This window comes from Homo sapiens, chromosome 2 (genome assembly GCF_000001405.40).
Source record: "Homo sapiens chromosome 2, GRCh38.p14 Primary Assembly".
Lineage (NCBI taxonomy): Eukaryota > Metazoa > Chordata > Mammalia > Primates > Hominidae > Homo > Homo sapiens.
The window spans coordinates 230,312,179-230,326,537 of NC_000002.12; the positions used below are offsets into that span (position 1 = coordinate 230,312,179).

The following is a 14,359-nucleotide window of genomic DNA, read 5'->3' on the forward strand; positions in this document are numbered from 1 at the left end:
TAATAAGAAAGGATCATGCTGGTAAGAAACGGAAGTTACTCTTAGCTGCATGAGTTTTCAAGTTTAACCTGGTTAATGTAACTTAGGGTGTTTAAGATAAGTGTTCTACTTAATAATAGTGTATTTCACACTTCAACATTGTTAAGAAAGTAAATTTCAAATGTACTCACCACAAAAAAATGATAACTATTTGAGGTGATGAATATGTTAATTAGTTCAATTTAATTATTCCACATAGCAGTCATAAATCACAACATTACTTTGTACTCCAAAATATATGCCATTATAAATTGTAGACTTACAGTACTTTTTTTTTTAAAGACAAGAGTCCTGATCATTCTCAGTTGAAAGGTGTCTCATGACGCTAATGATGAGGAGCATTGTTTTTGTCTTTATTATTTTTTCAGTACAAGGATTTTGGCCAAATGGGATTTAGACTGGAGGCTGAGTTTGAGAAGAATTTCAAGGAAGTGTTTGCTATTCAGGAAACAAATGGGAACAATTGACTGGATTAGTGGATGCTGAAAGCATTCAGCAAATGGCACCCTAAAATATGCCGCTGGTTTGCCACTGACTTCAAAATGAGGTCACTTGGGCACAGCACATGCAGGGAGGGGCTTTTCTCTGAGCCTCCTTCATCTGCCCAAAGACAAATCCTCAAAAGGAAATTCAATCATCATGAATCACAACCCCAAGTATCTCATCAGCCAGGGAAGAGTAAGTGGGATCACAGGGAAGGATGTTGGCAGCGACACCATCCCATACAGGCTCTTACCTCTTCTCCTGAGGGCTGCTCCAGACAACATTTATTACCCAGAAGACCTTTTGTCTGAAAACCAGCCAAGCTTTATTCAGGACACACTTCTTGCCTTCACTTTCCCACTTCCGTGGCCACCTCCATGCAGAAGCCCTAAGCCCACATTCTTTCGATAGCTCACGGTGGTGCATGAGTGTCCATCATCTGACTCTTCTCGGAGTCTCATATTTTGTGGGACTCCTGTGCAAACATATGTTATTAAAATTTTTTTCCTCCTGTTTATCTGCTTTTGTCAATTTAATTCATTCATAGCTCAACCAAAGAACCTAGCAGGGTAGAGGGAAGCCATTTTTCACTCCCCTGCAAAGCTGTTGGCATCCTGGCACCATCTCCTCTTCTGGCCAGGTCTTTTCATCCCCAACTGCTGAGTGGTGGCTGCTAATTAATGCCAGTAGTCCCCAGAATATTACCCGGGGTCAAGTGGAACCAGCTTCACCTGGAAGTGACACCCCGTGGCCTGAGGCCAGCCCCCTTGCCTGAAAGCAGGACCAAAGGTATGGTGTGCGGCTACTCTGTGTTCCCAGGTATCAGGCTGGAGCTAGTCTCCAGCTGTGGCCACACCCTGGTTTAGCTTTTGGCCACACGATGCTGCTTCCCCTACTCCCTTCTGAGCGAACCCTCACCATCAATCTCTTGCTTAAGGGACTTCATCCCAGAATGTGCTTCTGGGGAATGCAACCTAAGGTAATGGCCCCAGGAAGCGAGCTCTGAGGACAGGATTCTGGAGTTGGATCACTGTCTAGCCCAATGGTGCTGGGCAGAATATGGATAGCCCCAGAAGTGCTATCACTGAGCAGTTGCCCAAATTTTCACCTGTAGTAAATTGGAAGAGCTGCAGGTCAAGAGGTAAAATAGCTGGTACAATTGTCTGGCATTTAAGAAGTGAGGAAAAGTAACTATAAGAAGTATGGGTTTTGGTGGCTATTGCTAAGTGCCATTAATGTCCTGAAAAGAGTAAATGACAGGTTTAGATCTAGTCGTTACCAGCCTAAGGAGAAGAGACCCTCATACACCTGCAGCTGGAAGGCAGACAGCAAGGAATGCCTATTACAGGCCTTTATTTTACAAAGAGTCAAACTTCAGAGAAGACTGAATTCTAAGCTCAGGATGGTCTCTTATGCCAATGTCAAGGCCATGAAACTCAGCATGGGGCTATCTAGATAGAGGTACCTGAGAACTTTGACTCCAGATGCCCCCTGAACTCACTGGGCCTACAGAAAAATCCTCTTTCCCCTTGTTGGAAGAATGAGCTACCACCCCCACCCAACTCCCGATTTTTCTAGAAGGAAGACTGTGTAGAGACCGCTCAGGACAATGCAAGTGAACAGTCATGGGCAGGGCGGCAAAGTGAAGAGAGCGTTTATCCTCCGAAGGAGCTGTAGGACTGGCCAGCGTGCATCAGCAGGAGCAAGGAGATTGTGTCTGGGAGTGGATCCTGGTCCAGGAAGGGTGAAATGTGAAACCAGATACGTGAGAATTATTGACAAAAGGGCAAGCTTCGCTACCACAGAGTTTAACTAGCCTGGCATGGGCCAAAGGTGATGATTCTGATATACTCCTGGGTGGCTCCTAGAGACTTAGTATAAGCCATGGTACACATTAAATCAAGTGGAAGCAGAGATACCAGAACTACTGTGGCAGAGTCTGGAAAAGTGGGTCCCAAGGATAGAGAAGTTGGTGTGCTAGAATGACTCTGCACTCTACAACTGGAGAATCCATCCATCAGGTGACTGAGTTCCTCCTAAGGGGAACACTACTAATGTGTCTCAGACACTAACTAAAGGGAGAAGGAATGCACTGCTGAGGGGGCAGCACATCCTTGAGAAGCTCAATGGTGGCTGCCCCCTGCAAGCTGGAATAATGCTAGGGATGTTTTATAGAACTGGATCCCCCAGTAGTGAGTAAAATGAAAGAGTTCCAGCATAACAGAGGCCAAGAGGCAGCATTTAACTGTGAGGGCAAGATAAAGTAATTTCCCTAAGGGGCATGAATGTTAGAGTGACAGCTGGAAGGCCTGGCCTGTAGGTATCTATGAAGACAGACATGCATGGATATGCTGTTCCTATAGGCAAGATAGATGGGCAGCTGACAAGGATATTGCTTTAGACATATAATCAAAAAAGATTGGACATCAATGAGCAGAATGCTGAGGTCAGCTCTCTAAAGGTGAAGTCTAGACCCCTTGCCCAGCTTCCAAACCTCAGCCAGTTCTCAATGGAATCCAGAACCCATGATGGAAATGAGGGCAGTTTCTCATAAGGAAGAACCTTGTAAATGTGCACATCACTGATTCCCTCAAGTTTTCACGGGAGGGCTCTATGGCCATTTATTCAAGTAACTCACATGCCGGGGAAAGGAAAATACACAGATCTTTCAAGGGATGTTGAGTACAATGTCAGAGTTGATGCTAATCCCTGGGGACTCAAAGCCCTATCATAGCCCCTGTTAGAGTATGTGGAGATCAGGTAATGTCCATCTCACAATGGGCCCTCTGGATCCACAGAGCCACCCAGCAATCGTTTCCCCTCTTCCTGAATGTATAATCAGGATATACATTCATGCATACATCATAATACGTAGCAATTGGCTGACCCGGTTCCTTAACCTGGGCTTTCCTAAACTATGAAATAACAATGACTGTCTTAGGGAAGGCCAAGCAGAAGCCTCTGAAACTGAGGTTTCATGGTGAAAACAAGTAAGTTAAAAGCAATATCACATTCTTGGGGAGTGATAGAGATTAGTGCCACCTACAAAGACCTGAAGGAGGCAGGGGTTGTTACCCCAGTTACACCTCCATTTTAATTCAGCAGTCTGCCCTCTGGTATCTCCTGGTGGTTCATGCTGCTAAATGGCTCCTAAAACTTAACCAAGGAGTAGCCCCAATTATAGTTGCTGTGTCAAATATGGTATCTTTATTATAATGGGTTAGCACAGCCTTAGCAAGTGATATGCAACTATTAATATGGAAATGCCACTTTTAAAGGATTCAGCAGGATGTAGGTTGAGAAGCAATTCACATTCTCAAGGATTGGACAACAGTATATCCTTACGGTCTTGCTCCAGGGCAATGTGAATCCTGCTCCGTGTTACAATATAGCCTTTCTGGAAACTCTGGAATACATTACATTCGTCCACTGGATTGATGACAGTATGTTCATGGGCCTGATAAGTGAGAAATATAGACTATTCTGAATGACTTACTAAATCACAAACACTGCAGGTGGTGGGAGAGAAACGTTACAAAGATTCAGAGATATGCCATATAGGTAAGCTGTCAGGGGTTCAATGGTCTGGAGCATGTCAGTGTATCCCCTCCAAAGCTCCAAGCTATTGCAGCTCATACCTCCTACCACGAAGAAACTCAGAGCTTGATGGGCCTCCTCAGGTTAGGAGAATCACCATGGTTGACATTCTGATGAATGTGATTCTAGGCTTTGTAACGTGTGTGTGTTTGGGAGACAGGGAGTAGGGAGGCAGTGGGTATACCATCTTAATAAATAAAAAATGCTTATCAACTTTTTTCACTTAATAACATACAATGGACATTGTCACATCAATAAATACAGCTCTACATCATCCTTGCCATACCTTTCCTTTTTTCATCCAAACTGAATTGTTATTGGCTAGTTAGTGATTTTTGGTCTTGTAAGCAATACTAACTTGTACTGAGAGGCAGCACAGGCTAGCATTTAAGAGCACAGACTCTGAATGTAGCCCGTGTAGGTAGAAGCCCAGCTCCTGCACATGTCTACTTGCTGGCAGTGTGTGCTTGGGCAAGCTATTCATCCTTCCCCTGCACTGCTTCATCTGTAAAATTGAGGTAACCCTCTGGATTATTGTGAGGATTAATAAGTTAATATTTATTATTCACTTAGAAAGTTTCTGGCCCTGCATGCAATACATAAGTAATAAATAAACAAATCTAAGATGAACACAAACACCCTTGTATCAATTCAGGCTCTTTGCCATCAAGAGAGACCCAATTTATCTAGGTTAGGCAAAAAGGGACTTTGATGATGAAATACACAGTGCCTCACAGAAAGGGCTGGAAGGCAGGGGTACTGAGCTGGCAAATAGCCCTGGAAAAAGGCAGGAATCAGAGTGGTTCCAGGCATTGAGCGCCAGGAATGATGCAGCTGTGTCCTTAAGGATGTTAATAATTTTACTAATTTTTTTTTAAAAAAACACAAAAAACAAAAACTCCTCACAATACTTCACTCAAGAGTCCAACTCCCACCACACAGCGTCTGGCTGGCCTGGCCTGCTCACGGGCCAGCATTGTGATGAACAGCTCCTCACTCCTGCACCCAGAAGGGAGAGCTCCTTCACCCAAAGGAACTGGGGACTGTTAGGAAAGGGGGATGGAGGAGGCTGGACAGCCAAGGAAATCACAGCTGACCAAGGGAACCCACCTGGGACACTCAAGGCCTGGACCACTGCTGTCTGATGGAGGAACAGGGGCAATTCCAGGCCAGTCAGAGAGGCCGCAGAGTTGGGGGGCTGCCAAGTTCCTTGGGTCCATGGGACCAGGTAACTGTTTCCCCATTGCCCTGTGCTGCGGAGGCAAAGGCTGAGTTGGTCACTGTTCTAGAGGGAAGGCAGTCTGCCTTACACCACTGGACAACCAAGAACAAGGATGGGAGCTATACCTGTCATGGTGTCAATCCAGTACACCTGCATTCAAAGAGATGCTGGATCCTGGGTGGGTTCCTACCCTCTGGGAGTGTGCTGTGTCCCTGGGAGCTGCCAGGACCCGGTGCTGTAATTGTCCTGAGCTGGGAGGTCATGAGCTCTCGGTAATGACCTCTCAGCTGGAATCTATCATGGTGAGTCCTGGGCATCAGCACACACCCTGCTCTGCTGAGCTGGGAGAAGCACATTCCACCAGGAAGAAGGGTAGATGGCCCTGGGAGGCTTCACAAAGCTCTGGAATTGGAGCCCAGGAACTAAAGTTGTCATGACTGTTTCCTGCGACATCAAACTCTCACATATGCCCAGTAGGGTGCCATTTATTCCCTAGTTAGATGCTCAGGGAAGTCAGAGCAGGAAGGAGGCAGAGGGAAGGACAGGGCCTGAATCCCTTGGAAAGAGGTGGCTGCTTCAGTAAGTCCCTGAAACAAGTACAGGATTCGATACCATCACTCAATCTCCTTCTGTAACAAAGACAAAAAATACACTTAGACTCCTCTGCAAGAACTGATATGTCTCATCTATATAGATGATTTATAATTAACTCCAGTGAAATTCTAGAATGCCCATGCCTTTTCTCCAGGGGTATTATTTGTTTTCTTATTTTGTTTACTGAAATAAGTCAACTCCTGTGAGCGCAAAAGTACAGAGTATGCGTAGTCCTGAGTTGTATATCTCATAACGAAGGTGCGCTTCCTGTTTGATGCTATGTTTAGTGGTGTCTCTTCTCTTGGGTGGGCAGTGGGCCTGGGGGAGTCTCTCTAGAACTTCTGGTGCCCCCAGGAGCAGGCCTGAGTGTGGGAGGGGGGTAGGGCTGGGTCATTGCTTAGGAGTGAGGAGCAGGGAGTTCTGCTTCTGATATTTAGGAGGAAACTCCTGAGCATCAAGTCCTCTTGCAGAGGACAGCTAGAAACTCTGGACGGTAGTCAAAAAACAATGGCTTGAGGCCTCTGTAAGGTAAATGAAACTCGAAGAGACACTTCCTGTTTTTTATTGCCTGTCCCTGAGAGCAACAACAGTTTTGTGTGGCACAACCAAAGCTTTGATAGAAAGCCTACCTTCTTTGTGGTTGGCCAAGCCATGGGGAAGAGCCCAGAGCAACCAGGCTTTCTAAGGAATGAAGGGAAAATCCCAGAAGGCAAAAAGCCACAGAAAAGAACTCAGATAATGTGTATGACCCTTCCCAAGTCTCTGGCTGATGCCTGGAGTGAAGTGAAATCAGTCTGAACATAGAGCAGAGCTTTGCCCACTGCAGACAAGAACTAGAGTGTGGCTTGAACCTAAACACAGAAATCACCTGCCAGAACAAAAGCTCTTCCTGTTCTGATCCAAGCTAGAGTTAGCAATTAGCTGCCAATGTAGTCACTCTAGATGCAGACTGGACACTGGGTGCTGCAGGTCAATGTGACTAACCAGGTGCCTTCCCACCTTCTGCTATCACTTCTGTTCAGATTCCTCTGGGCTGGAATTTTTCATCTGACATGAAACCACCTCTTACTACCTTACATCAACACCGAGATATTGCTCTCCTGAAATCTTCATTCACATTTTCCGCCGAACTCCATTTGTGTGTGACTGAAAGAGTCTACACCAGTTCACACAAGGACAGCACACTCTAGAGTTGTATAGTGTGGCCCCGCCAGCATTAAGCAGGAAACTAGGGTGTGGCCTGTTCAGGGAAGGGGGTTACTTCTCTACTGAGACATGTGGTTACATATTTAACCGCATCCTGCCAGAGCTGCCAGAAAGGTGGGTAGGACCACTTTCCATCTCCTGTTCACCTCATCCTCCAGAGGGTTCATCCACAGTTGCCTGAGTCTGGGTGGGGAGGAGGATGCAGGACCTCAGCCTTGAGATCTCAGGACCTCGAGTCTTGGCCATATAATGATGTAGCCACCACTTCTGGCTCTCTCTCTGGTGTCTGTGTTCACTCCTCTGAGTCTCACAGAATGGGATTGTGCCCATGGCTGGTGCACTCTGCATGCCAGTGGACATGTCTGCTCTTAGATGGTTTTGTAACATCTGTGTCAGTACATGTGGCCCAGAGTGCTGTACAGGAGCTGGCTGGTGCTTTTTGTTTTGTGCTTATTCAGGAAATACAAGAAATAACTCCTGGGTTCCTGCATTGTGCCATTGTCTGAATGATAAATGGTAAATCCCAGCCCCACTTCCTCATGCTCCCCAGTGGGGAAGGACCCAATTTCCAATTCCAAATTCTTACAAGCACAGCTCAAGAATACCATTATTGTCATCACAGCTGAGCCTGGAATCCAGGCTCTGAGATAAATGCGAGCCCCTCACTTCCATAGCTCCACATTCAATGGGCTGAACATCCTCTAGAATTATTCATGAGAGAGGGTGTAATAGGCCATAGATGGTATGTGTTGGGAGTGCAGAGGGGTCTCCAATTCTCTCTGGAAAGGAGGGTGTCACCTACTAGACTGAGTCCACTGGCCATTCTCAACTGGCTAGTAGCTGCATAAGTGGATCTGTCAGGGAACTTACCCTTTATTCCCCTATACATCAAGAAAATGGATCAGTAGCAGATGAGATGGATGAGTTTTCTTTTTTTTATTATTATTATACTTTAAGTTCTAGGGTACATGTGCACAATGTGCAGGTTTGTTACGTATGTATACATGTGCCAGGTTGGTGTGCTGCACCCATTAACTCGTCATTTACATTAGGTATATCTCGTAATGCTATCCCTCCCCACTCCCCCCACCCCATGATAGGCCCCGCCCAGTGTGTGATGTTCCCCACCCTGTGTCCAAATGTTCCCATTGTTCAATTCCCACCTATGAGTGAGAACATGTGGTGTTTGGTTTTCTGTCCTTGCGATAGTTTGCTCAGAATGATGGTTTCCAGCTTCAGCTATGTCCCTACAAAGGACATGAACTCATCCTTTTTTATGGCTGCATAGTATTCCATGGTGTATATGTGCCATATTTTCTTAATCCAGTCTATCATTGTTGGACATTTGGGTTGGTTCCAAGTCTTTGCTATTGTGAATAGTGCCGCAATAAACATACATGTGCATGTGTCTTTATAGCAGCATGATTTATAATCCTGTGGGTGGAAAAAACTAAAGTTCATATGGAACCAAAAAAGAGCCCACATTGCCAAGACAATCCTAAGCCAAAAGAACAAAGCTGGAGGTATCACGCTACCTGACTTCAAACTATATTACAAGGCTACAGTAACCAAAACAGCATGATACTGGTACCAAAACAGAGATATAGACCAATGGAACAGAACAGAGCCCAGAAATAATACCACACATCTACAACCATCTGATCTTTGAGATGGATGAGTTTTCAACTTCAATGTCATTGTTGTGGGAATCAGCACAACTGTGTCAGTATGTTGTCCAGAAAGACATTGGACCAGAAGGCCCTGGAGGCCACCTGCTCCCCAAAACTTGTTCCACTTGACAGTTTTACAGCCCACCTGGCCCTGACAACCTCATCCCAAGGTGAGACACAAGATTCCCAGCAAAGCCTGGTTCCCAGGGCCATTTCATGGCCTGGCCAGACCAGGTGGTCCTGTGCTAGTGGGCTGGGGCCCTATATGATGCCAACCTGTTCCCTGGGCACAGCATTTGTACCCATGAAAAGCACGTGCACCAGTTATGAGAAATGCACAGGGCTGTCCCACCAAGCTCCCACCGCTTGGCCCTGGTGAGAGCTCATTAGACTTTATTTTGGATTTCTCCTAGACCAGATCTGTTATGACTGACAGGCTAAAAAGACCCACCTCATCCTCAAAACAGGGTTTTCTCAGCCCTTGCTAGGCACAGGTGCCCTGGGAGAACCCCCCCTAGTGGTCCAGTCAGCTGTTTCCCACCCACATTTCCAGGAGGAGCACCTGTGGAAAGGCAGACTCCACCCCTTCCCTGCACATCTCCTCCAGACCATGGTTGGCAGATGGGCATTGGCCTTTGCTAGAACTGTACTTCCTGTCTCATAATCTCTAAATCTTCATGAAGCTACACTTTCCACCCCACTCTTCCTTTGTTCAGCAACACTGAGGTCCTTGCCAGGTACCCTGTTCTTCATAGGAGCACCCACTTTCCAGCCCAAAGAAATGAAAGTTGCTGCCCATGAGGTGCTGGTGGACACCATCTGGATGGTCCACGAGGTACTCTCCTTCTCTCACCACACATGCATCACCTGGCAGTCCTAAGATCTAGGATAGTCCAGGGACCATTCCATTCCAGCTCACTGTGCTGAAACTAGTAGACACATGGAGGTTTGCAGAAATATTAGGAGTGAGGACTTGTTAAAAGGCTGCACATTTCGTTGAAGCCTTTGCTGCCTCCAGCCCCAGCCTCCAGGTTCTCTCCACTCCTGGTGGTGCCCAGCCCAGCATTGTTGGGACCCTGAAGCTCACAAGGAGACCTCAGTCCCACCACAGCTCAGAAGACATTCCTCCACCTTTCTGAGGGCAGGTTTGACCCCACAGCCTTAGTTCCACCCTTGTGGGGTACATCCAACATGGAGCTGCCTGGTTCCAAATATCCGATGATAGCTGATATTTGTGCTAATGGGGACCCACTGGTGAACACAGGAAGATGCCATCAGGAATCTCCAGAATGTGAAACGTGGTGAACCTGTAGAGAGTCGTTCTTTTTCAGTCCAGCAGTTGGGGCTCAAAGGGAAGCTAAGACTCAGAGGAGCCCTGTGACAGAGCAGGAGCACCATCATCTTGGACAAACACCACAATTTTAAGTTCACCTTAATTAAAAAGCCCCCTAAATCCAGCCCAAAAACATCAGCCTAATGGCTAATGTCAGCATAACCAGAAACATTCCAACCCTAAGATAAGCCACCCCCCTCCAACCAGAAACATGCCAACCCTGAGACAACCTCCCCTCCCACCAGAGACATTCCAACCCCACAATAAACCTTCTCTCACATGGAAACATTCCCAGCCTGCTATAAGCTCCCCACTTCCTAAACCCTTAGATACCCTTAGTCAGTAAGAGAAAATGCTCCTGACCAAAACTGACCAGAATCCCCTCTCAGGTTTATTCTCCAAAATAAACCTGTCTTTAACTGTTGAGCCACTTTTCATGTTTCTTTCCCCTTTCTTTAACTCTTACACCCTGAGGGTAAAGGAAGGTGAAGCTCTTTCCCCTCATTCAGGGAGACTGGGTTTGGGGTGGGGGACATTGCCACACTTGTCTGGATGAAACGCACTACATGAAACCTCATGTCTTCTAATTCACTCCATACCACCCGCTTTTGCCATTTGCCCACTATTTTTGAATGTTTTCAACTGCTCAGCATCGAGTCACATCAGCGTGCCCTGCAAGGACTGCAGGAGTGTCCTGCAGGGCCTCAAGGTGCGGGGCAAGCTTGAGGGCTTCAGCCTTGGGGGAGGTCCAGAAGGCAGGGCCACCTTGGGGTTCCAGAAGGAAAGAAGTTCTCAGGGAAGAGGACAGGGACCAGGAGAAGTGAAGGGCAGAGTCCCCCGCCCCTCACGGGCTGAACAGAGGGCAGGCGGTGCCCTGGTGATGCTCGTGAGCTGCTGGATGGCAAAATGATCTCAGAATCCAGTCCTTACATGGGTTCGACTTTATTTAGAAGGAACTATGGCACTTCTACCACACATTTCGAAGTGTTTGGTGAGCTATAATCCCCAGTAGAGGACGATTTTCAGCTTTATTTCCACCCAGCCCTTAGGAGGCTGCAGTGCCCTGCGTCGCCAGGAGAGGGGGTGCAGGCCCAGTTGGGGGCGGAGCCTGGAGGAGCACGGGGTGGCCGCTTGGACGGGAACACGGGAGGCTGACATGGGGAATGGCGGTCACTGGCCCCTTGCTCGCTGCGCATGCTCACAGTGTGTCTGTGGCAGGCCTTGCTGGCTGGATGGCCTTGGGAAGGAGGCATGAGGTGGCTTCCATGGGCCACCAGGAGCCTGTGGTGCTCGTCAGCACCATGGGACAGGGATCTGTGCATGTCCAGCTGCAGATACAACAGGGGCTCAGCTGAAGGACCCTGTGTGATGATGCGGACTCAGGGGTGGCCCTGGGCCAGTCTCTTTCCTCCTGGTGCTGCACAAGGACTGAGGGCATCCTCGGGGTTTCTCATGAATGGTCCCCACCTTCAGAAGGTGGCCGGAGGGACTTCCTGTGTTGTTCAATGCTCCCCTTGTCTTTCTGACTCCCTACAATCCTTCACCCATAGCCTCTTCCTCCGCGCCAGGGTACTTCTTCCCATTCGCCCATTTTCCAACGATTCACCCCCTTCCAACAGCAATAATTACATTTCCACCTCCAACAATCCCACTGGCATCTTACAGTGTTGCAGGTTTGGGAGCCCAGTCACTGAGGCTGTGCTGAGCAGGGGACCCTGGTGAGTGGGCCAGGGAGGATCAGACCAGCCTGGTCTCACCCAACTTCCTAAAAGCTGAAATATTGCCACCAAATGCCCGCTGAGCCCAGGGGATAATTGCATCACAATCATGCAGTTGCAAGGAACTATGATCCCAGCCTCTACCCATCTGGGGCACAGATAGAAGAGAACCTGAGAAGAGAGATGTGTACCCATGTGCTTGAAATCTTTAAGATATAGGCAAAATGAAGAAACAGATGGGGATCAAAATACCAGCTTTATTCCTGATAAGAACTGGATTAGGAATGTGGCTTAGACATGTGGCAGTAAAGGGACCCCTAACACTAAACCCCAGAACTGGCTTATCCCCATGGCATCGAACCCTCCCTCATGCCATGCAGGCCCCTGTCCTTGTGCACTTGAGCTTGGAGGGGCCAACAGAGTCTTGGTCTCTGCAGGCAGGATGACTCCAGGGACACCCAGCAAGGAGCAGGCTCACTCCCACTCCTAGAGAAGAGTCCCCTAGAAGAGAAGAGTCCCCTAGAAGATGGGTGGGGACCAAGCCTTGATTGATTGATGTTCCACCTCCTAGAAGGAGACAGTTTGGCAGGACTGGCTGCTCCCACTAAAGATCCCAGGCGCCTACTCTTCACTCGTCACTTCTACGTCCCTTGGAGGCTGGCCAGGTTCTCTATTCTCATGCCCCAGTGGCACTGTTGCTGCAGCTGCCTCCTGCCCTGAAACTCTCTGGTCCATAACGCCAATGACCTCATCTCAGGGATAGACCTCTGGGTTCCCACATGGGGGTCCCAGGTTCAAGAATCACAGCCCCTCCCCACCCCTCGCCACTGAAGTCTGAACTGAAGCTGCTTTTGGTGAAGCTCACGAAGGCCCATCACCTGGATGGGTGCCCTGCCTGTGGTTCTTCCTCAATCACTGCCTCTCCTGCTTCTGAGTTTTCCAGGCTCCAGTAACTGGAACTACTTCTGTGACAGCAAAAACATTCCCTGTTGCCTGTACTCCTTGCAGCCATAGAAAATGCTCCAGGAGTTCCATTATTTCCTTCTAAACAATCCAGCAGGATTTTTAGAACTTCATACTACTTCTTAATTTGGTCCTGTCCCTTTCCCAACCCAGGTGTGTCTGATGTATTCCAGATCAAAGAAACTTTGCTTTTCCCACAGAAGCCTAGAGATTCTCCATTAACTGGCATTGCTTTTGCAGAGTGTGGTGTGTGCTCAGCTTTTTCCAACCCTGTCTGACAAGAACATCTCCTTCCCTGCTGTCAGGAGCTGCCCTAGCAAGGGCATGTCCACCTGTAAAGGTCAACACTTGCAGATTTCCAGCCAGCTCATTGGTCTGGAATTCCAGCCCCTAAGCACACCCAGAGAAAAGCTGGTACATATGTCAGTGCCACTCAGTGGCCTGGGCCTGCTTGCTGCCCAAGAGCAGTGAGAGGGGTGAGTGCAGACGCCAGAGCCGACTGGTGTGGTCCGCGCCAGGCCTTGTCAGTGCTGCTGTGCTCCATGGAGACTGGGATCAGAGGACAACTGTGCCCAACAGATGCTCAGCTTACCAGCCACTGTGCCTCCATAAAACTGGGGAGTCATGGGGGAGCGAGCAAGAGAAAGAGAGAGAGAGACCTACAGGTGTGCAGTACCTGATAGAAACAGTGACCTCGCCCACTGGAAAAGCTGTCCTCACCAGTGTCTTGGCACCTGCTTATTAACTCATTTTGGGGAAAGCAGGGCACCAGTAGAATCAGGGTAGAAACCCCCCACCCTCGTATTTTCAAATGTACCTGAACAAGCATTCACAGCTTCCAACTATTGTGCAATAAACAGCAAAAAAAAAAAAAGTCCTTGAACCAAAATTGTCCTTAGCTGCTCTGCCCTCTAAGATGGGGCATAGTTTACATGGGAGTTGGGGGAGGACTCCATGTTTGCCCCTTCCCCTTGCTGAGATGGCTGGGGGTGGGGGCTGGAAAAAGTTGGATTCAGCAGAATGTAATTTGGAAAACATGGCTCTGGAGCACCATCCCCTCTGGCCCCTGAATCCTCACCAGCTTCCACCCTCTGCTCACCTTGGGCCCTGGATTCCAGCGCCCCCAGGCTCCCAGCTGCCTCCCTGTCTCTGCCCCATGGTCCAGCCTGGAGTTCTGGTCCCTGGTTGTGTCCTGTGGCCCCATTCTCATGCGCCCTTTGCTTCTATTTCTTTACCTATGACTTTATACTGATGTAAAGCGAGTCTTCTCGGTCGCTTCTTGTTCTCTGAGGAATGTTGAATCAGAATCTAAATGGAAAATCTGGGAAGAGATAGAACCTCCCGCGGGAGCCACCCTGCCCTTCCATGTCTAGATCATCTGGGTTCCAACCTCCATCCTCCTCCAATGAGAAGCTTTTGTTCTCTCAAGATTCCAGTGACTTCTCCGAAGCTCTCTTCATCCCTGGCTGTTCCAAGGTGGCCCCATAGTCAAGATTCCTTAAACCCTTGCCCCTTAAAATGTTTGCCTTTCTTA

General features: G+C 48.1%; 1 protein-coding gene across 35 annotated transcripts in view, besides 3 other annotated features; it reads left to right on the forward strand.

Moving 5' to 3' along the window:
* The window catches only part of SP140 (SP140 nuclear body protein), a 130,421-nt gene extending 126,028 nt beyond the window's left edge, over positions 1 to 4,393 (forward strand). For 33 of the 35 annotated variants that reach the window (XM_047443073.1, XM_011510517.4, XM_011510518.3 and 30 more), the window contains one exon: positions 408 to 1,037. In XM_047443073.1, coding sequence (XP_047299029.1) covers positions 408 to 506 — 99 coding nt within the window. In that variant the 3' untranslated portion in view covers positions 507 to 1,037. Of the gene's footprint in view, positions 1 to 407; positions 1,038 to 2,100 lie in introns of those variants that run through there. The other 2 variants (XM_006712223.4, XM_047443077.1) reach the window with 1 other exon arrangement.
* Positions 81 to 1,280: an enhancer, noted in NCBI's record as "CDK7 strongly-dependent group 2 enhancer chr2:231176974-231178173 (GRCh37/hg19 assembly coordinates)". NCBI's record gives its function as "activates an origin of replication core promoter dependent on BRD2, BRD4, P300/CBP, MED14 and CDK7 cofactors, with strong dependence on CDK7, by STARR-seq in HCT116 cells {active_cell/tissue: HCT116}" and the evidence as "EXISTENCE:reporter gene assay evidence [ECO:0000049][PMID:35650434]".
* Positions 6,119 to 6,168: a silencer, noted in NCBI's record as "silent region_12409". NCBI's record gives its function as "represses an Ori minimal core promoter by ATAC-STARR-seq in GM12878 lymphoblastoid cells {active_cell/tissue: GM12878}" and the evidence as "EXISTENCE:reporter gene assay evidence [ECO:0000049][PMID:35858748]".
* Positions 7,299 to 7,448: an enhancer, noted in NCBI's record as "active region_17217". NCBI's record gives its function as "activates an Ori minimal core promoter by ATAC-STARR-seq in GM12878 lymphoblastoid cells {active_cell/tissue: GM12878}" and the evidence as "EXISTENCE:reporter gene assay evidence [ECO:0000049][PMID:35858748]".